Source organism: Homo sapiens, chromosome 14 (assembly GCF_000001405.40).
Source record: "Homo sapiens chromosome 14, GRCh38.p14 Primary Assembly".
Classification (NCBI taxonomy): Eukaryota; Metazoa; Chordata; class Mammalia; order Primates; family Hominidae; genus Homo; species Homo sapiens.
The window spans coordinates 22564686-22590404 of NC_000014.9; the positions used below are offsets into that span (position 1 = coordinate 22564686).

General features: G+C 42.4%; 1 protein-coding gene across 1 annotated transcript, besides 5 other annotated features; it reads right to left on the reverse strand.

The window, feature by feature from the left end:
* Window positions 1-221: 221 nt before the first annotated feature.
* On the reverse strand, window positions 222-24539 carry DAD1 (defender against cell death 1). Its single transcript, NM_001344.4, has 3 exons — window positions 24262-24539; window positions 10374-10548; window positions 222-452 (listed from the first exon to the last, which is right to left on the reverse strand). Exons 1-2 carry the CDS (start codon window positions 24470-24472, stop codon window positions 10418-10420), a joined length of 342 nt encoding a protein of 113 aa, NP_001335.1. The 5' UTR covers window positions 24473-24539; the 3' UTR covers window positions 222-452; window positions 10374-10417.
* Window positions 5609-6331: an enhancer, noted in NCBI's record as "NANOG-H3K27ac hESC enhancer chr14:23039191-23039913 (GRCh37/hg19 assembly coordinates)". NCBI's record gives its function as "activates a minimal SCP1, AML or CMV promoter by ChIP-STARR-seq in naive H9 embryonic stem cells {active_cell/tissue: H9 hESC(naive)}" and the evidence as "EXISTENCE:reporter gene assay evidence [ECO:0000049][PMID:30033119]".
* Window positions 15572-15734: a silencer, noted in NCBI's record as "fragment chr14:23049159-23049321 (GRCh37/hg19 assembly coordinates)". NCBI's record gives its function as "represses an EF-1alpha promoter that drives an FKBP-Casp9 reporter gene in an ReSE screen in phorbol 12-myristate 13-acetate-treated (for megakaryocytic differentiation) K562 erythroleukemia cells {active_cell/tissue: K562(+PMA)}" and the evidence as "EXISTENCE:reporter gene assay evidence [ECO:0000049][PMID:32094911]".
* Window positions 17610-18111: an enhancer, noted in NCBI's record as "H3K4me1 hESC enhancer chr14:23051199-23051700 (GRCh37/hg19 assembly coordinates)". NCBI's record gives its function as "activates a minimal SCP1, AML or CMV promoter by ChIP-STARR-seq in naive H9 embryonic stem cells {active_cell/tissue: H9 hESC(naive)}" and the evidence as "EXISTENCE:reporter gene assay evidence [ECO:0000049][PMID:30033119]".
* Window positions 23536-24177: an enhancer, noted in NCBI's record as "H3K27ac hESC enhancer chr14:23057127-23057768 (GRCh37/hg19 assembly coordinates)". NCBI's record gives its function as "activates a minimal SCP1, AML or CMV promoter by ChIP-STARR-seq in naive H9 embryonic stem cells {active_cell/tissue: H9 hESC(naive)}" and the evidence as "EXISTENCE:reporter gene assay evidence [ECO:0000049][PMID:30033119]".
* Window positions 24178-24819: an enhancer, noted in NCBI's record as "H3K27ac hESC enhancer chr14:23057769-23058410 (GRCh37/hg19 assembly coordinates)". NCBI's record gives its function as "activates a minimal SCP1, AML or CMV promoter by ChIP-STARR-seq in naive H9 embryonic stem cells {active_cell/tissue: H9 hESC(naive)}" and the evidence as "EXISTENCE:reporter gene assay evidence [ECO:0000049][PMID:30033119]".

Genomic DNA, 25719 nt, shown 5'->3' on the forward strand with positions numbered 1-25719 from the left:
TAGTAAAGGATTACCTGCTCCAGGAAGAAGACAAAGGACTGCCATTTCCCAGGGTTGTCAGCACTGCCTTTTGCCATTAACTTCAAATATACTTAATGAAAACAAGGAGGCAGGTTCACAGCTGTAAGTTACCAACTCATAAAGAGTTCAGCACAGAGGACTGAAGAGAAAAAAAGGATTCTGATACCAGCAAAGAATAAAAACAGAGCCAGAGGCATATGGAGGAGTGGCATGGAGTTCTTTAATTTGGAAGGCAAAAGGTTACATTTAATGAAAGGCAGAGGCTGGATTAATAAATGTTTGTTAGAAAGTTGTTCTGACACACAGTGAACTCTGGGCTTTTCTCCTGCATAAAAAGCAGAGCTAGCAGTAAGTGCAAATCTGAAGAAAATCCATGTGTCCAATAAGCTGCCATCTCCAGAACTCTTATCCAGGAAATTCAAAGAGTGAACCTAGAAGAAAAAAGCAGCAAGGTTAAATGTCTTATGATACTAGAGACAGGGCCCCAAATCCTTCCATCTAAATTCTAACCCACAAGACAGTTATGGGGTTCCCACACTCAGGACAATATTTAAACCAGGCGAGAAAAACTAGAAAGAAGCAAGTATTTTTCAAAGAACATTTTATGGGAGTAGTATCCAGAAAAATTAATGTCAAAACTGAATTTCAAGCACATCAAAGCAAAACGAACTAGGAACTGTGAGACATGTGTCCTAACTCCAGCTCTACCATTAATTAGCCGCAAGACTTCACATAAGTCACTGACTTCCCTGGCCCACAAATTCTTTGAGGTGAGAGGGTTGTAGTTTAACCTAAAGAGCTTTCTGGAATCTAAAATGCTTATGAAGCACAGATTTCCATTGGTGGGGAGGCAGGGTAGGGAAGTAAGGATTCAAGAAAGAAAGAAAAATTCCCAATCTCAGCTATAACAAAGGACCAAAATATAAGAAATAATTTAGTTTTCATTTAAAGATAAGTTTATTTTTGGCAAGAAAAAGGTGAAGAAAGAGTAACCGCAACAGAAGTGGCCACATTGCTGCTAGAGCCAAATGGAACTGAGATCTGTAACTTGTGAGGTGGAACCCTCACCACAAGATACAGGCTTCCTTTAGTCCCTCAAAGCACAGCCTCCCACCTACTGGACTCCAGCACAGCTCTGGTTGGAAAGTGACCTCCAGCCTTAGGGGCTCCAATGTCTCCAGCTATAAGCAACTGATTTTCCCAGTGTGCCATAAAAATACTGCAATCTCCTACGTGTACCATGACTCAAAAGAGGCTGGGAAATACTACCTTTCAGAAGAACCGGGCTGCCCCAGGAGGAAAAAGGGCACTACCTTATTTGGTATATTGGGTCAAGTAAGTAACCTGGAGATTCTGGCATCAGAACTTAAAGGAGAGATTTTGGACTTTCAGCCAGAATGCTTTTATTTCACTAACACTGGTATTTACAGAAATGCTACATAATTGCAGAACATTCCTGAATCAGTGGTATTATAAGAAATGTATAAAAGAAAGAGCAATAACAGGAAGCAAAAGGTGTTCACAGTGCCAAACAAAACCAAACAGACCTATTCAAACTCACCTATTCATTCCATCAAATTTCTTAAAGCAAACTCTCTGGCAATAGACTATCAGCCAATATAACATTACAGCTTTTTTTTTTTTCAAGACAGAGTTTTGTGCTTGTTGTCCAGGCTGGAGTGCAATGGCGTGATCTCGGGTCACCGCAACCTCCGCCTCCCGGGTTCAGGCGATTCTCTGCTTCAACCTGCTGAGTAGCTGGGATTACAGGCGTGTGCCACCACACCCAGCTAATTTTTGCATTTTTAGTAGAGATGGGGTTTCACCATGTTGGTCAGGCTGGTCTCGAACTCCTGACCTCAGGTGATCCACCCGCCCCAGCCTCCCAAAGTGCTGGGATCACAGGCCACCATGCCTGGCTACATTACATTTCTAATGGCCAAGGTGAGAGAGGACTAGATCATAATGCCATTTTCAGTGAACAAAGCCTTGACACTTTTAGAAATATAAAAGAAATCCTAGTTTAGTACAAAATCAAAGTTTAAAGATTTTATTATATTAAAACATTTAAATCTAAGATGCTGAGGCCAGTCCACGTGAAAGGCAAAAATTGACTCATGAGAGTAAGTCTCTTTGATAGTGGTTTTCAGAAAATTCTGTTTACAAAGATCTGCTTCCCCTCTTTTAAAGCAGATCTATTTACCAGACACTATTCTAAAAGCAGAGGTTCTAGGATTCTTTGAAATATTAGCTCACACAATTGACTACTCAACAGCTAAGAAGAATGGTTTCAACTATTAACCAGGGCATAAAGGTTTCAGGAAACTGACTAATAAAATCTCCTCCCCTGATATCAAGACATGCAAAATGAAGACACCTACTGAGAAAAGTTAGCGTGACTTCAGTCTATTTCACCTGGGCAGAAGACAGTGCCATTTAATCAGTTTGTTCTAATCATCTAAAAAGAAAGCAAGGCATAACACAAAGAACTGTTAAAAATGACGCTGTAGAGATAGAAAAGATAATGCCAGCCAGGGTCATTTCTATTTGGAATCTGTATTCTTCTCCAGCAATATCTCTATTCAGACACTAGCACTGGGCAGATATGTTCAAATACTGATTTTCCTTCAAATTCATCTCATCCTGGATTCTAGTCACCCAATTAAAACTGAAATTAGAAATAATGTGAATCAAAGACCATTCTGCAGAAATTCTAGGTTTACAGCTCAATTTGAATCACCAGTTTTAGAAGGCACAGACTGTGTATTTCTAAAAAATGAAAGGAGCTTTAGAGATCAGCTTCTTTAATCCTTTCATTACAGAGATGAGAAAACTGTAACCTGATAGTGTTGACAAATCTGTCCAGAGCTGTGCTGTCCAACACCACAGCCACTAGACACAGGTGACTATTTAAACTTAGTCAAAGTTAAATTAAAAATTCAGTTCTTCAGTCTGTTAGCCACATTTCAAATGTTCAATAACCACATGTGGCTAGTGGTTACCATAATGGGCGGTGCAGACCCTGAATGTTTCCCCACTGCAAAAAGCTCTGTTGGACAGTGCTGGTCCAGGATCACCCTCCCTAGCCAAAGTCAGGTCTCCTGACCTGCATTCTCCTCCATTTCTCCTGGACCATATTAAGTATGGCCAACTATGCAGAAACATTTGAGATAGCCGGCCTTCATCCTTTCCTATCAATCTCTGCCAAATTTTTCCCATTTAAAAAAGAAAAGAATCCAGTCTGATGGCTCTGATGAAAATTTAAAATAAATAAAAATTTCTTAAAAAGAAAAGTTTAATATTTTTAATGAAAACCCTCTAACATGACATATATATAAAGCCATCATCTGAGAGTCCTAAACATAACAGGAAGGAATATAAAGGTTTAGAGTCCAAATGTCTGTTATCCAGTTCCCCCTCAGTCACTTATTAGTTCCAGGGCCTGGATACATCAACTAAAGTTTCACCAAGGTGTAATTACCTCAAGTGTAAAATAGGAATACTACTATTTGTCTGTCTCCACATCACTGGGTAGGAAGGAAGGATCACATGAGCTGATGTATGTAAAAGTATATGTGGAATGTATGTGAATCCTACAAGCCTGTTAACGTGGGAACTAGAAGACATTTTACAAATGTTTACTTTTTGTAAAAGGCTTCATACAAATATGTGCATCTTGTTATAATCATTTAACTTTCTGCCTCCTATAAATGGATAATGGGAATCTGAAAATATGAATAAAAAGCAACGATTAAGGAGAAAACAGAAAGCAAAGCCCAAATGAGGATCAACAAAAACAGTACAATCCTCCTCAAACACAAAAGAACCATCAAGAATCATGCTGAGAGGCATTAACAGTGGCAAGAGACTTTGATGAACATCCAGACCAATCCTCTCACAACACAGACAGAGAAACTGAGGCTCAGAGGTAAGTTTATTTGTCCATTCAACTAGTTAACAGAGCAAAGCCTACAATACAAGTCTTCTGATTTTTTTTTTTTTTTTTTTGAGACAGGTTCTCACTCTGTCACTCAGGCTGGAGTGCAAGTGGCATGATCACAGTTCACTGCAGCCGTGACCTCCCACGCTCAAGCAATCCTTCCACCTCAGCCTTCTGAGTAGCTGGGACCACAGGCACACGCCACCACGCCCCTCTAATTCTTTTGATTTTTGGTAGAGACAAGGTCTTGCTATATCACCCATGCTGGTCTCAAACTCCTGGGCTCAAGCGATCCTCCCACCTTGGCCTCCCCAAGTGCTGGGATTACAGGCCTAAGCCACCGCACCAGCCCCTCCTCTGACTTCTTGTCTCATGCTCTTCCCCACCCCACAGCCTCTCCTATGAATCTTTGCCTTGGCTTTTTTTCTTTCGTACCACTTTCCATGTTTTAGCATCCAAGTAACTTAATAACATAACTTTTTCTTGCAGTTAAAAAGTGTTTATTTGGCCGGGCACAGTGGCTCATGCCTGTAATTCCAGCACTTTGGGAGGCTAAGGTAGGCAGATCACAAAGTCAAAAGATAGAGACCATACTGGCCAACATGGTGAAACCATGTCTCTCCTAAAAATACAAAAATTAGCCAGGCGTGGGAGCACACACTTGTAGTCCCAGCTACTCAAGAGGCTGAGGCAGGAGAACTGCTTAAACCCAGGAGGCGGAGGTTATAGTGAGCCAAGATCATGCCACTGCACTACAGCCTGGACAACAAAGCGAGACTCCGTCTCAAAAAAAAAAAAAAAGGTTTATTCATTCATACACTCATTCAACAAACACACACTGTTACTGTTCACAATTGAGTCCAGTGGGAGAGAGAAGAAAGTGAATGAATAGTTTCATAACAATGTGATAAGTGCAGCACTGGAGGAATGCAGTAGACTAAGGGCTCCTATGCAACCTGAGGGGTGGGAATGACTTGGAATAGGAGTCATCCAAGCTGGGAGGATGGAGAAAATAAGGCAGTAAGTTAGGGCAGCAATGAAATTCATAAATATAAATCTATTTCGATATTCTTTTTTCTTTGGTAGCCTTAAATACACCAAATATAAAATAGAGTTCAATAAACAAGTAAAGTCATCAATTAGCACTTTTTAGCAAATAAAATAAGTAGATTCAAAGTTTTAAGAATGAAAGGTAAAGAACTAATCTCAGAGCCAGGCACTGTGACACACCTGTAGGTCCAGCTACACAGAAGCCTCAGGCAGGAGGATCACTTGACCCCAGGGAGTTCCCAGCTTGGGCAACGTAGCGAGACCCCAGCACATAAAAAAATATATAATTAATCTCACCTTCTAAACAGAGAAAAATGAGTTGAAAAAAGTTATGATGTGACTACCTCAGATTTCCTACAAATGTAGGACAGTTCCCTCTGAGAGAGCTTATTTGGCGGCAGGACCTAATTCAATATAAGGTGGAAATATCAAAGAGAAAATGAAATAAAAACTAAATGGGCCCCTCCACCAACAAAAAATTAAAGATTATTGCGTGGGAGGTCACCATTGAGAATAAAAGACGTAGAACAAACCAAAAAAAGAAGCTCTCAAACTAAGGAGGTGAAAAAAAGAAATCAAACGGGAAACCTGCGGGTCTATGTGCACAGTCTTGGTCTTCCCCCACACAACAAAATCTAGGGCCACTTTAGGGTTCTATGCCCTTTTGTTCCTAACTCGACATTGCCCACTTCTGGCCAGAATGTAAAGCAACCCCCAACCCAGCATCTAAACCCTCCTGGACCTCTGCTGCCCCCCAATGACTGGAAAGAAACTAGGTTTTTTAACACAGGTATCAGTAGCTTCTTCCCCCAAACTCAACTCCTCATGTTTTGTAGTAGCCGCTCAACACATGAAACATACCATCCACTAGGTGGCAGCAAAGCCCACAGAATAACATCAAGTTCCCCTTCCCGAGGTAATTTTCTAGATTACTATACTTTAACTGAATTCGAAAAGCCAACATAATTTCATGTTTGTAAACAGTGCTGCCAGTCAGAGTTTAAAATGTTCTGCCCAACCCTGTAGCCCCCTTGTTCCAGCTAGGATCAAACACTGAATTTTTTAAGACTTGTGAGAGAATGGTCTCCATTATAAAAACAAAACAATGCTAACAAGGCACAGGCATTTGGCAACTATCTCCCTGGGAGCTGAGCACATTTTCAAGCAAGGTTTTGTCCCTTTGGGCCCAGTTCACCCTTCCTTCTGACCCAGGGCCCAATTCATCAGGAACTTTAATTCTCAAACTGTGATCCAATACAGTTCTGTCCTTCTTTTCCTCATTACCCTTCAGAACACCTGAGATGGACTGAGATTTTTTTTTTTTTTTTTAAAAAAGAGTTTCACAGGCCAGGTGCAGTGGCTCACGCCTGTAATCCCAGCACTTTGGGAGGCCAAGGCGAGTGGATCACGAGGACAGGAGTTCAACACCAGCCTAGCCAACAGAGTGAAACCCCATCTCTACTAAAAATACAAAAACTAGCCGGGCAAGTGCCTGTAGTCCCAGCTACTCGGGGAGGCTGCGGCAGGAGAATTGCTTGAACCCGGGAGGCAGGGTTGCAGTGAGCCAAGACTGCACCACTGCACTCTAGCCTGGGCAAGACAGTAAGACTCTGTCTCAAAAAAAAAAAAAAAAGAATTTCACAAAGAAACACAGAAGAACAAACATGGAAAAAACTAAAGTATATACATTTTTAAATACTGAAATCCACTGAGCTTCTTTCTGTCATGGATTCATTCAAAAATATGCCGCCACCTACACAACAAAAACTGATCATTTCAGGTGTGCATGGATTTCTGGGGGTCAGAAGCTCACTGGGAGAATTTTTGCTTTTGTATTTTCATTTGTATAGTCTAAAAAATAAAAAATATTGAGTCTTTCTTGATCACCTGGATAGATACATTAGTTGTAAGATTTCTAGCAAGGGGCTCTTTTTTTTTTTTTTTTTTTTTTTAGAAAACAGAGTCTTACTCTTGCCAGGCTGGAGTGCAATGGTGCAATTCGGGCTCACTGCAACCTCCGCCTCATGGGTTCAAACGATTCTCCTGCCTTAGCCTCCCGAGTAGCTGGGATTACAGGCACCGGCCACCACGCCCAGCTAATTTTTGTCTTTTTAGTAGAGACGAGGTTTCACCATGTTGGCCAGGCTGGTCTCAAACTCCTGACCTCAGGTGATCCACCCACCTCGGCCTCCCAAAATGCTGGGATTACAGGCATCAGCCACCGTGCTCAGCCATCCTAGCCAGGCTCTCTCAACTTCAGTTCCTCATCTGTAAATGAGAACAGCAAGCCTATCCTCGTGAAATTATTCTGAAAATAAAATGATATAGAACAAGAAGTACTTAAAGCATAGCACACACTGAGCACTCATTATCTGTTAACTTCCTTACTTCCCCTTGAATTGTTTATTTTTTTAACCCAATGCCATTTTCTTTTGACCTGCCTCTTTCAGAGTAGGTTAGAGTTTGTCACCCCCAAATTCATGTAAGATCAGCTATATTACAGAATTTTTTTTTTAATATCAAACTCTCAACTTAGTTGGAAAATATAAAGACATTCAATCTGTTTTGTTCTACCTTCTGAGCTGGTATAAATATTGAGAATTTACTTGGAACTATTTTTAAAGTGCTGTGGCACAGTGCACATATAGCTGAGTTAGAAGCACATAAAAGGAGCAAATAAATGTATATTTTTAAAAACTGAGAGCAGGACAGTATAGTATAATTCAAATGAAGGATCTCTATGAAAAACAATCTGGGCAATCCCCCAGAGAGAAAGATTTTTCTATGAACATACTCTCCATAGAAAGATTTAACACTGCAATCTGGGATTGAGGATTTTGCTATGCTTTGGGCCCATAATTCCCAGCTGAGCAGGTGGTCCTAGGTTGTTAATATGGTCTGCAGTACACAGTTTCTGCTGAGACTGCTTTTTTGTCTTTGCTTTTGTCATAATTTTGAAATACTAAGCTCTCTGCAGTAGAGTCTTCCTCCAATCATGACAGCCCTAAGAAATAATTTTCCATGATTTGGTATCTCCCTGAGCCTAGAAAACATCCTTGAAATGTTTGCTGTGTCCCCTTCCTAAGTACACACCATGACTCATCTAGAAAAAAAGAACTTCAGAAATCTAGAGTAAGCAATCAGAAGACATGACCTTTCCAGAAGGCTCTATCAGGAAGCCCAAGGGTTACTCATATTTGCAAGCGTGAGAAGGTCAATGTTGGTGGGTCAGTTTTCTACCTGCATTCAAGGTTATCCACTGGTAACAGTTCATTTTAACTAGCAATAGCTGTTATCCATTGCTCAGATAACTCATCTGCTGTCCCTGCTCCCAGATGGTACAGCTGCTCTCTTCTCTGGATTTTTGCAGCACTTTGTTCAAACCTATAGCGAGGCCCTAAATGGGCTGTATTTTAACTGTTATGTTTACGTATTCTCCCCTACTAGACTGTACATGTCTTGAAGGCAGAAGCCACACTTTTGGGTTTTTTTTTTTAATTGAGATAGGGTCTTGCTATGTTGCCCATGCTGGTCTCAAATTCTTGAGCTCAAGCAATCGCCCACCTCGCCTTCCGAAAGTGCTGGGATTATAGGCATGAACCACCACGCCCAGCCAACAATATTGTTTATATTCCCAACAACAAGACATTGGCTGGCACATAGAAGGGGAGGGAGGAAGGGAGGAAGAGGATAACTCAAGTCTTAATCAGGTGTCTAATGAGTTAAATTGTATTAAAATAACAGAACAAAGTGGTTCTTAAAAGTTTTTCACTGTTGGGAGGCCAAGGCGGGCGGATCACCAGGTCAGGAGATCGAGATCATCCTAACACGGTGAAACTCCGTCTCTACTAAAAATACAAAAAATTAGCCGGGCGTGGTGGCGGGCGCCTGTAGTCCCAGCTACTCGGGAGGCTGAGGCAGGAGAATGGCATGAACTCGGGAGGCGGAGTCTGCAGTGAGCCGAGATCGCACCACTGCACTCCAGCCTGGGTAACAGAGCGAGACTCCATCTCAAAAAAAAAAAAAAAAAAACAGAAAAGAAAAAAAAAAAGTTTTTCACTGAAATAAACCTCACTGTCAACTTACCACTACCAAAATGATACCTTACCTGAACTAACAGAACTGTTTTTGAGGCAGTATCAAAGGAAAGGATTTAGGTAACATATTATAAGTAAATGACTAATTCATGTCAGAAAAGGAAGTATAGTCACTTCCACATTATTGCATCCACTTTGCACATAGATGCTCTAACTCTTATACTAGATTTCTGCTGGTTAGTATAAAAATGACAGCTTTCCAAGTGGTGACAGGAAGAGGTTGGTCCTAGGATATCCTTCCCCCAAATAGGATGAGATCTCCTAAGGTTCTCTTTTCTCTACCACCCAGAACATTACATTTTGCAATGCAAAGGCAAAGATTGCATGCATTCATCAGTAAGCTACATGGGATACCGGAAGGAGTACGGGGCCAAGAACACCGCTAGACTAGGGCACTTCACTGCAAACACTTAACTATGTGGCCAGGGAAGGCCAATGGATTGTTCTAGGCCTCTGTTGTCTCATATATAAAGTAACAGTGTTGACATACGGTATGGAAAACAGCCATATATTTATTAAAGCTTTAGAACTCTGCTTGGGAGGGAGCGATTTAGGGGAGGGCGTACCATATGTGATGAAGGCCAAGCAGAGAGGGCTTTTCAATTTCTGTCCATCAAAAAAAACTCCAATTCTACTTCTGCTTTATATACCAAGATTCTTTTTGTAAGAGTTTGTTTGGGAGAAGGGAGAAAGAACTCTACTGCTAAAAAAGTGAAAATGGCAAATGAACCAAGCAGCATCCCATCTTATATTTTAAAGTCTTCTCCCAAGTTAACCCAATTTCCCCATTTATTTCTACTTTAAGGCACATATTAGCAAATGCCCACAGTCATTCATCCAACATACACTGGATGCTATCAAATTTAAGTGCTATGAAAACAATGGTCCAGCATTAAAAGTCATCTGAGATCAAAATCAGAAAAAAATTAACTAACAAATCTAAAGGCAAAACCTACCATTTATGTCTCTTCCAAAATCTCCGAGTTATTTTCGTGGAGTTATTGGTACAGAAATTATTGTACTAGCTACAAACATTAATTTTCTATTACCTTAATGATTTGAAGAACAGAAAGACAAGGCAATGACCAAGAGCAGTAGCACTGATGAATTATGATGATATTAATGCATACTTTGCAGACCAATGGAAAATTCTGCAAATGTCAATAGCAGTATGGGAGCCTGGCCAACCATGATCAAAACCAGTCCCATCCAATTTCTCTTCCTAAAATCAACATTATAGGACAAGGACTATGATCATCACTTACATTCTTTTAGTCTCCTACTCCTCAATTAAGTAAATGAGAATGATTCAGCCAACAAAGTTCATGACAACAAGGTGCAGGATGGTGCTGGCAAAGAGAAAATCAGCAAAGGCTCGCTCTGGGGAGATGCCTTGGAAATCCGCTTTGTTCTGTGGGTTGATCTGTATTCTCAGGCAAACTGCACAAGAAGCAAAACACAAAAAAATGATTATATAGAAGTATAAAATAAATATGCTAATGAACACAGACATACCCGAGGACCCAACAATTCTACTCTAACAGAAATGAATGCATATATACATCAAAGGGCATACACAGAAATGATACCCAGATAGCCCCAAACTGGAAACAATCTAATGTCTATCAACAGTAAAATGGATAAATTATAGCATATACAAACAATAGAATATTATACTGCAATGAAAAAGAACTTCTGCTATACACAAAAATGGATGAATTGCACAAGTAAGTTGGGCAACACAATCAAAAACTTTATTTTTTGGGGAGTCGGGGACAGAGTCTCGCTCCGTCACCCAGGCTGGAATGCAGTGGCATGATCTCGGCTCACTGCAATCTCCACCTGCTGGGTTCAAGCAATTCTCCTGCCTCAGCCTCCCAAGTAGCCGGGACTACAGGCATGCGCCACCATGCCCGGCTAATTTTTTGTATTTTTAGTAGAGACGGGGTTTCACCATGCTGACCAGGCTGGTCTCGAACTCCTGACCTTGTGATCCACCTGCCTCGGCTTCCCAAAGTGCTGGGATTACAGGCATGAGCCACCGTGCCCGGACAAAACTTAAAAAATACACACTGGCTGGCCAAACCAGCTGGAACCTGGCAGGTACCCAGAGGAAGCCAAAGACAAAAAAGCCCAGCTCCCACACAGAGACCACAGGGCAGAGCCTAAGTGTATATGCTGGGGGAACAAATGTACCCCCTCAATTAGATGAGGAATATTCTGGGATGCAGCCACACAGAGCCACTGAGAACTCGGCAGGAGACAGGGTCTGGTGGTGCTGCCCAGGCCGGACTGGAACCCAAGCGATCCTCCCACCTCAGCCTCCTGAGCAGCTGGGACCACAGGCACGGGTGAACACATCTGCCTAGCTCCATGGTATTTTTAGTGTGACCTTCTATTTAGGGATAATGATTCAGGTTTTCCATTATAAGTTTATTTTAAAAATACATTTACTACAGTTAAAAAATGAATCAATTTAATTGCTTTGTTTTTTAAGAAACACACAAAAACCCTCGTATACAAAATCAAATGATTTTCAACCAAACTGACAAAACCACTCAATGGGGAAACAGTCTTCTCAACCAACGATGCTGGGAAAACTGGATATCCATAGGCAAAAGAATGAAGCTGGACCCTTACCTTATACCATATACTACAAAAATTAACTCGAAACGGATCAAAGACCTAAATCCGAAATGGATAAAGACCAAAAACTAAAAAACTCTTAGAAGAAAACAGAGCAAAAGTTTTATGGCATTGGATTTAGCAATGATTTATTGGATATGACACCAAAAGTACAGTCAACAAAGTAAAAATAGATAAATTGGACTATATCAAAGTTTAAAACTTCTGTGATAAAGGTACAATAAAGGGCACAACAGTGAAAAGGCACCTACGGAATGGGGAAAAATATTTGCAAATCACTTATCTGATAAAGGGTTAATATCAGAATATATTAAAGTACCCCTACAATGCAATTAACAACAAAATAATAACCAGATTTTAAAATGGGCAAAGGACTTGAATAGACATTTCCCCAAAGAAGATATAGGAATGGCCAACAAGCATATGAAAAGATGCTCAACATCATTAATCACTAGGGCAATACAAATCAAAATTACAACGAGATATCACCTCACATCTATTAGGATGTCTAGTATCAAAAAAACAAGAGTTGGCAAGAATGCAGAGAAACTGAAACCCTTGTGCACTAACAAGTGGGAAAATCAAATAGGGTAGCCAGTGTGAAAAACAGTACTGCGTTTCCTCAAAAAAATTAAAAACAGAATTGCCATATCATATAATCCAGCAATTCCACTTCTGGGTACATATCCAAAAGAAGTGAAAGCAGGATCTCGGCCAGGCACAGTGGTTCACACCTGCAATCCCAGCACTTTGGGAGGCTGAACCAGGCGGATCACCCGAGGTCAGGAGTTCGAGACCAGCCTGGCCAACATGGTGAAACCCCGTCTCTACTAAAAATACAAAAATTAGCTGGGCGTGGTGGTAGGCGCCTGTAATCCCAGCTACTAGGGAAGCTGAGGCAGAAGAATCGCTTGAACCCAGGAGGTGGAGGCTGCAGTGAGCCGACATCACTCCGTCCCACTCCAGCCTAGGTGACAAGAGAGAAACTCCATCTGGGAGGTTGGGAGGGTGGGGGATGGAACCAGGCTCTCAAGCAATATTTGCATACCCATGTTCATAGCAGCATTAGTCACAATAGCCAAAAGGTGAGAGCAGCCCAAGTGTCAGCAGAAGAACGGATAAGCAAAGTGTGATGTATACATACAATGGAATACTCAGCCTTAAAAGGAAGGAAATTCTGATACCTGCTACAACACGGCTGAATCTTGAGGACATTATTTTAAGTGACATAAGCCATGACAAAGGGACAAATACCATGTGGTTTCACTTATATGACATCAAGAGTAGTCAAACTCCTAGAAACAGAAAGTGGAATGGTAGATGCCAGGGACTGACAGAGAGGAGGATGAGGAGTTACTGTTTAATGGGAACTGAATTTCAGTTGCGGAAGACAAAAAAGTTCTGGATATGGATAGTGATGATGATTTTACAACAATGTACATGTACTTAATGCCACAGAACTATACACTTAAAAATGGTTAAAATGGTAAATTTTGTCATGTTTTATCTTGACCAAAAACAAACAAAAAAAAGGCCGGGCACGGTGGCTCACGCCTGTAATCCCAGCACTTTGGGAGGCCGAGGCAGGCGGATCACCTGAGGTCGGGAGTTCAAGACCAGCCTGACCAACATGGAGAAACCCCTTGTCTACTAAAAATACAAAATTAGCCGGGCATGGTGGCGCATGCCTGTGATCCCAGTTGCTTGGCAGGCTGAGGCAATGAGGCAGGAGAATTGGTGGAGGTGGAGGTGGAGGTGAGCCAAGATCGTGCCATTGCACTCTAGCATGGGCAACAAGAGCGAAACTCCATCTAAAAAAAAAAAAATTAAAAAATAAAACAAGGGCCAGGCACGGTGGCTCACTCCTGTAATCCCCGCACTTTGGGAGGCCAAGGTGGGTGGATCACCTAAGGTCAGGAGTTCAAGACCAGCCTGGCCAACATGGGGAAACCCCATCTCTAATAAAAACTACAGAAATTAGCTGGGCATGGTGGCACGCACCTGTAATCCCAGCTACTCAGGAGGCTGAGGCAGGAGAATTTGCTTAAACTCAGGAGGTGGAGGTTGCAGTGAGCCGAGATTGCGCCACTGCACTCCAGCCTGGGCAAGAGAGACTCCGTCTCAAAACAAAACAAAACAAAAAAGTATATGCTATATGATTCCATGTACAAAAAGCTTAAAACTTGGTAAAACCAATCTATGGCAAGATAGTGGTTTTTATCTTTCACAGGGAGAGGATAACTGGGAAGATGCAAGGAGGCATCTATGGTGCTGGTAATGTCCTGCATCTTGATCTGGATAGTGGTTAGACAGGTACATTTAAAAATTTATCAAGTTGTACAATTAAATTTCGCACTCTGTTAAAGGAAAAAAAATATTACTTCTCAGAGTTACACTGAAACCTAGAGGCTTTCTCAAAGAAAAAAATATATAACCAAAAAACCCACAAAGCTCTCTTATCTGCTGATTTAAAGGTTTCTAATTATACCTAGATGGGGATGCACTTGAGGCAACAACAAAGGGTCCGGGCTGAATGATAAAAAGTTATAAAAATGTGAATTATTTTCTAATAGAATATTCATTTAATGGGTAGCAGAGTTTATAAAGATAGCACGCTCATTCTTGAGAACCTCACAGTTCTCGATAAACTATCTTTGATCTCGAAGTTCTAGCAGCTGCTTATTTGTCTCAAAAAAGGCAGAAGACCTAAGAGAGATAACTCATGAGAACTCTCCACTGCCACACTCCATCCCCTTGAAGATTCTAACAGTCACCATTGACAAAAAAAAAAAAACAGGCAGTTCCAGGAATACACTCTTCCGAAGTATCTTTATGCCTGTGATAAATTATTACATTGCTTAAGAAAACCTAAACTCGCTTCAGGCTAGCATCATCCCATCATTAACTAAGAAAAAGCAACAAACAAATCTAATCCAAAGGCCAGAAAACTATCAGACTAGTTCTCCAGAGCCTGTCACCATGGCAACAGTTTTCATTATGCTTAAACATGTAAACACCATGGAAGCACCATTGATCCTTTCAGGTATCCAGACCCTTAAAAATATTAAAGACAATGACTGAAGCAAGGGTAACCAGTGTAAACCCCTGCTGTAGAAAGTACAGATTCATTCATCCACTTGGGAGAGCAACTAGCAATATCCATTAATATTTAAAATGATTTTACCTTTTGACAAAGGAATTTATCTTACAGAACAAAGACATTCTGAAAGTATGTTTGTAAAGTTGAAAAAAAAATTAAAACAGTCTAAACATCAAGGGGATTAAACTATACAACTGACATGCAATGAAATCCCATGCAATTATTCAAAAGAATAAGGTAAATTCTCTGTACATTGACAGCAAACATATCTAAGACTTATTAAGTGAAAAAAAGCCAATCCTTTTTTTTTTTTTTTTTGAGACAGGGTCTCACTCCATCACCCAGGCTGGAGTGCAGTGGTGCAATCATGGCTCCCTGCAGCCTCGACCTCCTGGGCTCAAACAATCCTCCCACCTCAGCCCCCTGAGTAGCTGAGACAACAGTCATGCACCACCATGCCTAGCTAATTTTTTTGTTTGTTTTTGGTAAAGACAAGGTCTCCCTATGTTGCCCAGCAATCCTCCCGCCTCTGCTTGCCTAAGGGTAGGGATTACAGACATGAGCCCCCACACCCAGCCCATTCCTAATTTCACTTGGCCAGGGCATGGTGGCTCACAACTGTAACCCCAGCATGTTGTGAAACCAAGGTGGGAGGATCGCTTGAGCCCAAGAGCTTGAGACCAGCCTGGGAAAGATAGGGAGACCCTGTCTCTACAAAAAAAATGTTTTAATTAGCCAGGTGTGGTAGCACACACCTATGGCCCCAGCTACTCGGGAGGCTGAGATGGGAAGATTGCTTGAGCCCAGGAGGTAGAGGTTGCAGGCTGCAGTGAGCCACAGTCATGCCACCGCACTCTGGCCTGGGAGACAAATCAAGACCGTCTCAAAAAAAAAGTAAAATATTTTATTTACATATAATGATATACATAATTATCTTGTCATTTCAGTTAGAATCTAGAAAAAAATCTGAAGAAATAGAAAACTATTAATAGTGGTCATTGGAGTAAAGAACACGGTGTTGAGTTTTGAGGAAATATGAGGGAAAAAAAGAAAAATTATCCATGAAGGTGGATAAGGTAATAAATTGATGTTATTATTATTGTGATCATGGTAACCAGATTATTTCAATGAAAACATATGAATCAGAGTCCCACAAAGTTGGAAAGGACCTCAGAGGTCATAAACACCAACACCCCATTTGATGTATACAATGCCCAAGAGGTGGTAGGGGGTGGCCATGCTTGGGGAGGCGTACTAATCACGTGGGAAGCTTTCCAAAGTATACTCACCACTTACAGAATCTGGTAAGCCACCTCCAGATGGAGAATTATCAACTTTCCAGAGCCTGTGTTACTGATAAGGATATCACATCTCTCAGATGCATTGGAAACAAAAAAGGCAAAAAAAAAAGCCTGTTCAAAATGCTCCACTACCAATGATCCTTCAGTCTCTCCCTGGGCACTTCCAAAGATGGAAATTTACTACCTCTTCAAGCAGTCTGTTCCATTTTAGCAATTCTGATTTACTCTATCCCCTTAAATGTCCATTTATTCCATAAAATATTTACTAAACATCTACTACATGACAAGCATCATTTCAGGTGCTAGGAATATGGCACAGAACAAAACAGTCTGGCTCTCAAGGAACTTACACTCCTATGGAGAGAAACATATAATCAATAAGTTAACAAATAAACCAGGAACTACTAGGTAGAGATATGTACTATGAAGAAAATAAAACAGGATAATAAAGAGTGACTGGGAAGCTTTTCTTAAATTCAATCATAACAGAAGGTCTCTTTAAGAGCTTGCTATTTAAGACCAATATTTGAAAGATAAGGAACCAACCATGTAAAAATCTGGGGGCAGAGCATTCTAGACAGTAAGAACAATCTTGACATGTTATAAACACAAGGACAGACGCCAGGCATGGTGGCTCACACCCGTAATCCCAGCACTTTGGGAGGTCGAGGCGGGTGGATAACCTGAGGTCGGGAGTTCGAGACCAGCCTGACCAACATGGAGAAACCCCGTCTCTACTAAAAATACAAAAAATTAGCCAGGCTTGGTGGTGCATGCCTGCAATCCCAGCTACTCAGGAGGCTGAGGCAGAAGAACCGCTTGAACCCGGGAGGCGGAAGTTGCAGTAAGCCGAGATCGTGCCATTGCACTCCAGCCTGGGCAACAAGAGCAAAACTCCATCTCAAAAAAAAAAAAAAAAAAAAAAAAAATCAAGGACAGACCAACAAGACTATAGTGATCAAGGGGAAGGACACAAGGGCCAAATCCTGAGGGGCATGGTAAGCCTCAGAAAACAGTACGGATTCAGTTATAAGAGCGGTGGAACAGTATAATGGTTCGCAAGGTTAAAAAGAGGCAGAAGGCCGGGCGCAGTGGCTCACGCCTGTAATCCCAGCACTTTGGGAGGCCGAGGTGGGTGGATCACAAGGTCAGGAATTCAAGACCAGCCTGGTCAAGAAGGTGAAACCCCATCTCTACTAAAAATAAAATACAAAAAATTAGCCGGGTGCAGTGGCAGGCTCCTGGAATCCCAGCTACTAGGGAGGCTGAGGCAGAAGAATCGCTTGAACTCCAAGGGCGGAGGTTGCAGTGAGCTGAGATCGCGCCACTGCACTCCAGCCTGGCGACACAGTGAGACTGCGTCTCAAAAAAATAAAAATAAAAATAAAAATAGGCCAGGCGCAGTGGCTCACACCTGTAATCCCAGCACTTTGGGAAGCCAAGGCGGGCGGATCACAAGGTCAGGAGATCGAGACCATCCTGGCTAACATGGTGAGACCCATCTCCACTAAAAAATACAAAAAAAAAAAAAAAATTAGCCGGTCATTGTGGCGGGTGCCTGTAGTCCCAGCTACTCGGGAGGCTGAGGCAGGAGAATGGCGTGAACCCGGGAGGCGGAGCTTGCAGTGAGCCGAAATCGCGCCACTGCACTCCAGCCTGGGCAACAGAGCGAGACTCCGTCTCAAAAATATAAAAAATAAAAAGAAGCAGAAGAATTACTTAGGACCCAAAGAGCTCAGGGGAATGGTAGTAAAAATGGACAGAAATAAAGACATACAGGCTATATTTTGGAGAAGACAGAGCTTGCTGATGAAACAGATGCAGGAGATAAGAGAAATCAAGGGACCCCGGAAACTTAAATTTCTTCATTTAAAAACACAACCGGCCGGGCATGGCGGCTCACACCTGTAATCCCAGCACTTTGGGAGGCCGAGGTGGGTGAATCACCTGAGGTCAGGAGTTCGTGACCAGCCTGGCCAACATGGCGAAACCTCGTCTCTACTAAAAATACAAAAATTAGCCGGGCATGGGGGAGCGTGCCTGTAATCCCAGCTACTCAGGAGGCTGAGGCAGGAGAATTGCTTAAACCCGGGAGATGGAGGTTGCAGTGAGCCGAGATTGTGCCACTGCACTCCAGCCTGGGTGACAGAGTGAGACTATGTCTCAAAAAAAAAAAAAAAAAAACCACAACCAACATTGACACCACGTACTAACTGGTGAAGAGGCAGATGGCTGGATGAGCAGGTTTGATCTTGGACATGTTAAGTTCAAGGTACATATCAGACATCAAGTGAAGACATCAAGTTGGCAACTGGATTTACTAATTTGGAATTCGGGGGACAGTTCAAAACTAAAAATATAAAGGAGTAGTTGTAGGTATACAGGTGTTATTTAAGTTTATCTATTTAAAAAAAAATACAAAGTGAAGGTATCTACAACCATGCTCTCAGTCAGAGAAGCGCCCAGCACAAAACAGCAGAAAGGAAAAAGCAGTGAGGTGAGACAGAACAAGCAGGAGAGTGTTGTATTCAAGAAAAAACTTTCCTTTTACACAGAAGCCAATACCTACATTAAATGCTAAACGTTGCAACATGGCAAGAGTAGTTTCAGTGAAGTAATTCAGTGAAGTAGTGAGGACAGACCAATACCAAGAGTGGGTTAAGGAATGAATAGTTAAGGGAGGAAGTAGGAACATTAATTATTCTTTCAAGAAATTCTGTAATGATGGAAAGGAAATGGGATGGTAGCTAGAAGATTATCTGTGGTCAAACGGATTTTTTTTAAATAGACAATATTAGAACATGTTTGTATGATGGGAATGATCCAGGAGAGAAACAGAAATTAATGACACGGAACAGAGGAATAATTGCAGAAGCGGAGTCCCTGAGTGAGCAAGGGAAGACTGGATCCTCTGCACAAGCAGAGCTTTCACAGGAAAGAGACACATCATCCACCATGAGAAGTCAGAGAGTATGGGTATAAAAGTAGGTGATCTGTTATGATTCAGTGGTGAAAAGATGAAGGAATTCTTATCTACTTCTTTTTTTTAGTGAAAAAATAAAAGCAAGATCACCAACTAAGAATAAAGGAAAAGAGGAAAAATAGAGTGATTTATGAAGCCTACTTTAGGAAGGCGAATGTATAAGAGAAATATTATTGCAGGACCACTAGGCAGGGTTGGATGCACATTGTGTTCCCATTCTCACCAATAATTCTCCATCAGCACCATATCCATATTTACTTGTCTGTATTTCCCACTAATTACAAACTCTGTGAGAGTAGAAGCCACGTCTGTGTGCTTCACAGTTGAATTCCCAGCACCTTGGCAGAGAACCTAGCACATCATTGCTCACTATTCCTGACATGACTATAGGCCTGCTCACCATTTAACATATACAGTGTTCAGCACTGAGGATGGAGAGATGAGAAGACAGCCCCTGCCCTCAAGGGCTCACCTTCCAGAGAGAAGGCAGACACCCAAATACAGCACAATGCCATATCTCTCTCACACACACACATACAAGGTGAAAAAGGAATACAGAGGAAAGACCTCAATCTGCTGGAGAGTCAGGGAAGGGTTCCAAAGGGCAATAAGCCAGGCATAGTGCTGTGTGCCTATAGTCCTAGCTACTCAGGAGGCTGAGGCAGGACTGCTTGAGCCAAGGAGTTTGAGGCCAGCCTGGGCAACATAGCAAGACCTTGTTCTCTTTAAAAACAGTAACAAAAAAAAAAGGAAATTGCACTTGAGCTGAGAAGTCTAAAAAGTGAAGGAATTTTGAAGGCAGTCAAGCAAAGGCAAATAGTTTGACACATGAGAGTGTTCAGAGAATGACAAGTAGCTCAATACTGTTGGAGCAGAGTATAGAGGAGGCAGAGGCAAGAGATGAAGCTGCAGACAGCGAGGAAGCCAGATCATGAAAGAGCCTGTATGTCAAAAAAAAAGTTTTAATTTTACTTTGGGAAACACAAATTGTACATGGGAGTGACACAATCAGATTTGCAAGTCAAATCAAGCCTGCAAACACAATAGAAGATGGACTGGAAACCAGAGGCCGGAAGGCCAGTAAGGAGGATTACAGTAGTCTTCATAAGAGATATTGAGAGGCTAAAACAGAGGATGAAAAAGTAGCAATGATATGAAAGATATTTAGAAACAAGACTATCAGGCACATGGGTGGCAAACTTCTAATCTCTCGGATAACAGTTATGAGAGATAATATTAGGATCCACAGATCTGATGGATAATTCCAAAAGAAATGCTGGACCCCAGTCCACAACAGCCTAATAGCTCCCGTGAGACAGAAAACTCTGGACTAGGCCTCCTTGCCTTACAGATTCAAACTGGTTTTGAATTTGTAAACTAGGAAAAACAAAACTATTTTTTAAGACAAAATTACCTCATATAGATTAGAGAACAGAACAGATGAAAGTTGGGAAATGAATTAAAACTTGTTTCAAGACCAAAGACTTATTTTGAGGACAGTCTTAATGTTTTCTACTTATCCCTCCTAAATAGCACTTTAAATGAGCACAGCTTTCAGTTGGGCAAAAAAGGAAACTAAAGGGTTGCCAACACTGGAATATAACTCTAAAAAAGGGACAGATGTCCTCTTCTAGAGATATCTAACTACAAGATAAACAGTCAGCTACTGGATGTTTGAAATCTGTCTCAAATAGAAAAATATTCTACCTCTGAGGTCCTTTTAAAGCCAATATATTATACTCTGATGATCCAAAACACACACAAAAAAAGATCTCTCAATGACAACTTTCTACCTCTGGTTCCTTCTTGAAACCATGGTTAAGTCTCTCAGCTATGAGGGAATAGAAGAAAACAGACTATTTTCATACCATCAGGCCCAATAACAACAGGTTTTTTAAAGGTTTGGTAGCGTTCTGAATTGGTTTAAAATGTACTGGTCAATTTCCAAAGAGCATATGCTAAACTAACACATGCAGAGGGAATAGAAGAGAATAGACTGCCAAAAAAAAATAGAGAAGATTAAAGAACATTTCCCTCCAATTCATCCTACATGCTAACACCAATTTTAAATCTTTTCCTTTCTTTAAAAAAGCACCCTCAGTGCCGGGTGTGGTGGCTCACGCCTGTAATCCCAACACTTTAGGAGGCCGAGGCGGGCGAATCACGAGGTCAGGAGATCAAGACCATCCTGGCTAACACGATGAAACCCTGTCTCCACTAAAAATACAAAAACTTAGCTGGACGTGGTGGCAGGCGCCTGCAGTCCCAGCTACTCAGGAGGCTGAGGCAGGAGAATGGCGTGAACGCAGGAGGCGGAGCTTGCAGTGAGCCGAGATGGCGCACTCCAGCCTGGGGGACAGAGTGAGACTCCGTCTCAAAAAAAAAAAAAAAGCATCTTCAGAAGCTTTACTATTACCTACAGGATAAAGTCCAAATTCCTGGCCGGGCACAGTGACTCACACCTGTAATCCCAGCACTTTGGGAGGCAGAGGCAGGCGGATCACCTGAGGTCAGGAGTTTGAGACCAGCCTGACCAACATGGAGAAACTCCGTCTCCACTAAAAATACAAAATTCGCCGGGCGTGGTGGCACATGCCTGTAATCCCAGCTACTTCGGAGGCTGAGGCAGGAGAATTGCTTAAACCTGGGAGACAGAGGTTGCAGTGAACCGAGATCGCCATTGCACTCCAGCCTGAGAAAAAAGAGCAAAACTCCATCTCAAAAAAAGTCCAAATTCCTTGGCCTGGCATTCAAACATCTAGCACCCAGCACTACCTAATCCTTCAACAGTATCGCCTACATTTCCCTCTCCCAGCTCACTGGACTCCTCCATTCTCTTGCAACAGGAAATTCCACAGGAAAGTTAGAAACCCCAGCACCATAAAAAGGAACAAGGCTACCTTTGCCAACAATCAAAACAAAGGATAAGCGTCCAAATTTCCCATTAAAACCAGTCTCCAGTTGATGATCTAGGCTAACAAATGGCAGAAGAGGCAGGATTTAGGAAAGTCAATGCTGTCAAAAGAAGGGTAAATCATACCCTTCTGTGGCAACTAAGAATTATCATGAATCCCTTCTTTTCTTGAAGTTGCTTTCATTTCTATAGCTCTATTATCTGTTATCTAACAGATCTGGAAATCCTAATCCCCCTTATTGGCCCCATTACTAATATGCCCTTTTACTAGGTTTTTCTTCAATGACAAGCCACCTAGTTCCCACTGGAGAGGAGAAAGGCAGTCCAGTCTGCCAATTCAATTTCAGCCACAACGGGCTCAAAAACAGGTCTTGGCATAAGTGAAAGTCATTTGCTCAAAAAAACCTTCTGGCTTTATTACACTGATAATCTATAACTCTAGTCCATGCCCACTCTTCAGCAAACCACATTCTTCAAAGCATCCATGAAAAATCATTCTAGACCCTAGAGGCTTATGAAGGCAGGGTGACTTCTACATGGAGAAGGCATCTTTTTTAAAATCAGCTTTCAGACCCTGCCTTGCTCCTACTCTTCCAGACCTGGAAACAAAAACATCAAACAAAATTAAATCAAAAGTTCTCATCAAGGTTCCTTCTCCGGGCTGGCTAATAAAAACATATAGTACCGTGGCAGAGGGCGGTGGGTGGGTGGTGGAGAATACTTAGAGCAAAGGGGTAGTGTATCTGGTCGGATGATGGTTAACACATCCTGAAGGCAAGGACGCCACCACAGACAACTAGGTCTTGGTCATCTAGGACAAAAGTCAAAGATGGTAACTAAATATCCAATCAAAAGGCTAATCTGCAACTTCAGTACACAAGTCATTAGATCCTCAGACCTGTTTTAAATTCTAAGAAATATCTCTGGTGTGTCAGAACAATGTAAATGTACAATAAGCATTCTATAGGTCTGTAACTTTAAGCACAGCACCACTGTCACCAGACTTTTTTTTTTTTTTTTTGAGGCTGAGCCTCACTCTCACCCAAGCTGAAGTGCAATGGCACGATCTCGGCTCACTACAACCTCCACCTCCCGGGTTCAAGCGATTCTGCCTCAGCCTCCCGAGTAGCTGGGATTACAGGTGTGTGCCACCATGCCTGGCTAATTTATGTATTTTCAGTAGAGATGGGGTTTCACCATGTTGGCCAGGCTGGTCTTGAACTCCTGACCTCAAGTGATCTGCCTACCTCGGCCTCCCAAAGTACTGGGATTACAGGCATGAGCCACTGTGCCAGGCCTCCAGACAATTCCAATGCTGTATTTTGTCTGTACCCCAACTAGACCATAAACTCTTTACGGATAAAGAACATGTGCCAAAGCTTTTACCATAATGCCTCATATTGGACTGAAAATACAACTGATGACCTGACTGATGATCACACTGAAAAGAAACCATGAATGCTGGCATGTTTTCAAAGTCAAAGTAGCAGGTGATACCAGTGATAGAGGCCACGCCTGTTTTCAGTATTCACTGAATCCCCGTTGGGCAAGAAAAGTCAGATTTTAACAAAAATTGATGGAGACTGTTCTCGCTAAATATAGCAGTCTACAAGGTTACCAAATCCTGGAATCAAAAGGAAAAATAAGGCTAAAATAGAGTTATGTGAACAAAAATTGGGTTCAGGACAGTGAAATAACAGCTTCCTCAACAAGAAAAAAAGTAGTAGCAGCTAAAAGGCAAAATCAAGTAAAGGATGATTCAACAAGAAAAGCACCAGTATTTATATTCTTTGCACTTTCATTGAAACGTTTCACCGGAGATTGGTAATGATTAGGCCAAGATGACAGAGATGATTCAAGGTTGGGTTTTTCATTTGAAAAGTCTACTAATTTTAGAGTTGTGTTAAACCTAAGTTAAAGTTGGAATAGGGTTTTCCCCGGACCAATATTAAGTGAAGTGGATCACCAAGTGGAGTAGCGGCACGAAGGTGGTTTCTTTAGACTTTTAAGTCCAACTCCTACGGAGCCGTTTGGTATTAGGCATATAATCTAAGCTTTCTGAGCCTCAATTTCCCCATTCACAACAAAAGGGCAATGCAGGCTCTTCTCATAACTTCAAGGGGCGGTGGTCTGATATAGAGTACTATGAAAACAAAAGCAGCACACCAAAGTAACACATTATTATTATGATCACTTATAGAACCATTACCCGCTAGGATGAAACTCCCCACACAAGAGATGAAGCCCGAGAGAAAAGAGTTGAAGGGGAAGGTCCCCACGAGGAGACAGTAACCGAACTGCAGCGCCCCGGTCAGCAGTATATACAGCAGGTACGCGTCCAGCAACTTCAGACGCTGCGGAGTGGAGCTCAAGTACTCTTCTAAGAACCGCGAAATGACAGACACTACCGACGCCGACATAACTGCACGCAAGGTACTCCGGTCCGCGCCCCAAACTCTTGGAGGACCCGTCGACCACACCGGATGTGCTGTTTGCGCATGCGCACCCTCGTGACCTAACTCCGCCCTCCCCGGTGTGCCAATTTGCGCAGGCGCTGAGGCCGGCCAGGGCGCGTAACAACTAATGCGCAGACGCGGACTGCATCAACAGACTCAACTACAACTCAGAAAAGTTAATGCGTCTGCGCAATGGCCCTATCAATGAGCTGGGGACGTGTACTCTTTCTGTTCTGTTTCCGCCCGTCAGCTCGGTGACGCCCACAGTTGCTCTGGCAACAAGACACACTGGGAGGAAGAGGGGAATAAGCTTTACTGGGGACCGCGTAGCTAACCAGAGGTATCCGGCTCTCTCTGGTCCTTCTGAGTCCTGGAAGATTTAACGGTTTGCATCTACTTTGAGGCAATGCCTGGCGTTCCTGGGGTTTGATACCAGCCTGACCCTAATTCTGTTAAGGGCGCTGTCTGCAGATGTCTGTCACAGATCATTGGAACAAGTCAAGTTCATCCGCAGTGAGACCCGGCGCGGCCAATCACTGCACAGGCCCCAGTTTAGACTTAATTACTTGGGGGAGTGAGTGGGTGTGGTGAGGGGCGGGAGGCAGGGAGGAAGCCTGACCTCAGCAGGGTTCTGAACTGGAACTCGGGATCTGGCCCTGCAATGCCAACATTTATTGGGCGCCTCCTTGGGGCCTGACGTTGTACTAACTTGTAGGGACTCTCACGTGAATCAGATATATTTGCAGCCTTAAAAGAGCTGGTGAAGGGAGGGACAGCTGTCGAATGTCGTGCAAAAAGCATATGGTCAAGTTTAGCAGCTCTCTTTCCGCAAGCTGGTATCTTGAACCTGGTGTAATATCCCGGGATGTCAGCGTCGAAAGGCCCGAAAGAGCATGCCTGGTTCAACCCTACTCTCTCCAACTCATTTTGCAGAAGAAACTGAAATGGTTTCAGGTTTTGTATTTTAACAAGTGGGATTATTTTGAGGGTTTTAACTGTTTTTTTTTTTTTTTTTGAGACGGAGCCTTGCTCTGTCGGCCAGGCTGGAGTGCAGTGTCGCGATCTCGGCCCACTGCAACCTCCGCCTCCCTAGTAGCTGGGACTACAGGCACGCGCCACCACGCCCGGCTAATTTTTGTATTTTCAGTAGAGACGGAGTTTCACCATTGTTAGCCAGGCTGGTCCCGAACTCCTGACCTTGTGATCCGCCA

What these genes read in the sequence shown, in the direction of transcription:
- DAD1 (NM_001344.4), bottom strand. Translation starts at nt 24,472, where the DNA reads ATGTCGGCGTCGGTAGTGTCTGTCATTTCGCGGTTCTTAGAAGAGTAC. An exon ending in GGGGAGTTTCATCCTAGCGG is followed by an intron (nt 10,549 to 24,261) that starts GTAATGGTTCTA and finishes CTTCTTGTGCAG; the next exon opens with TTTGCCTGAGAATACAGATC.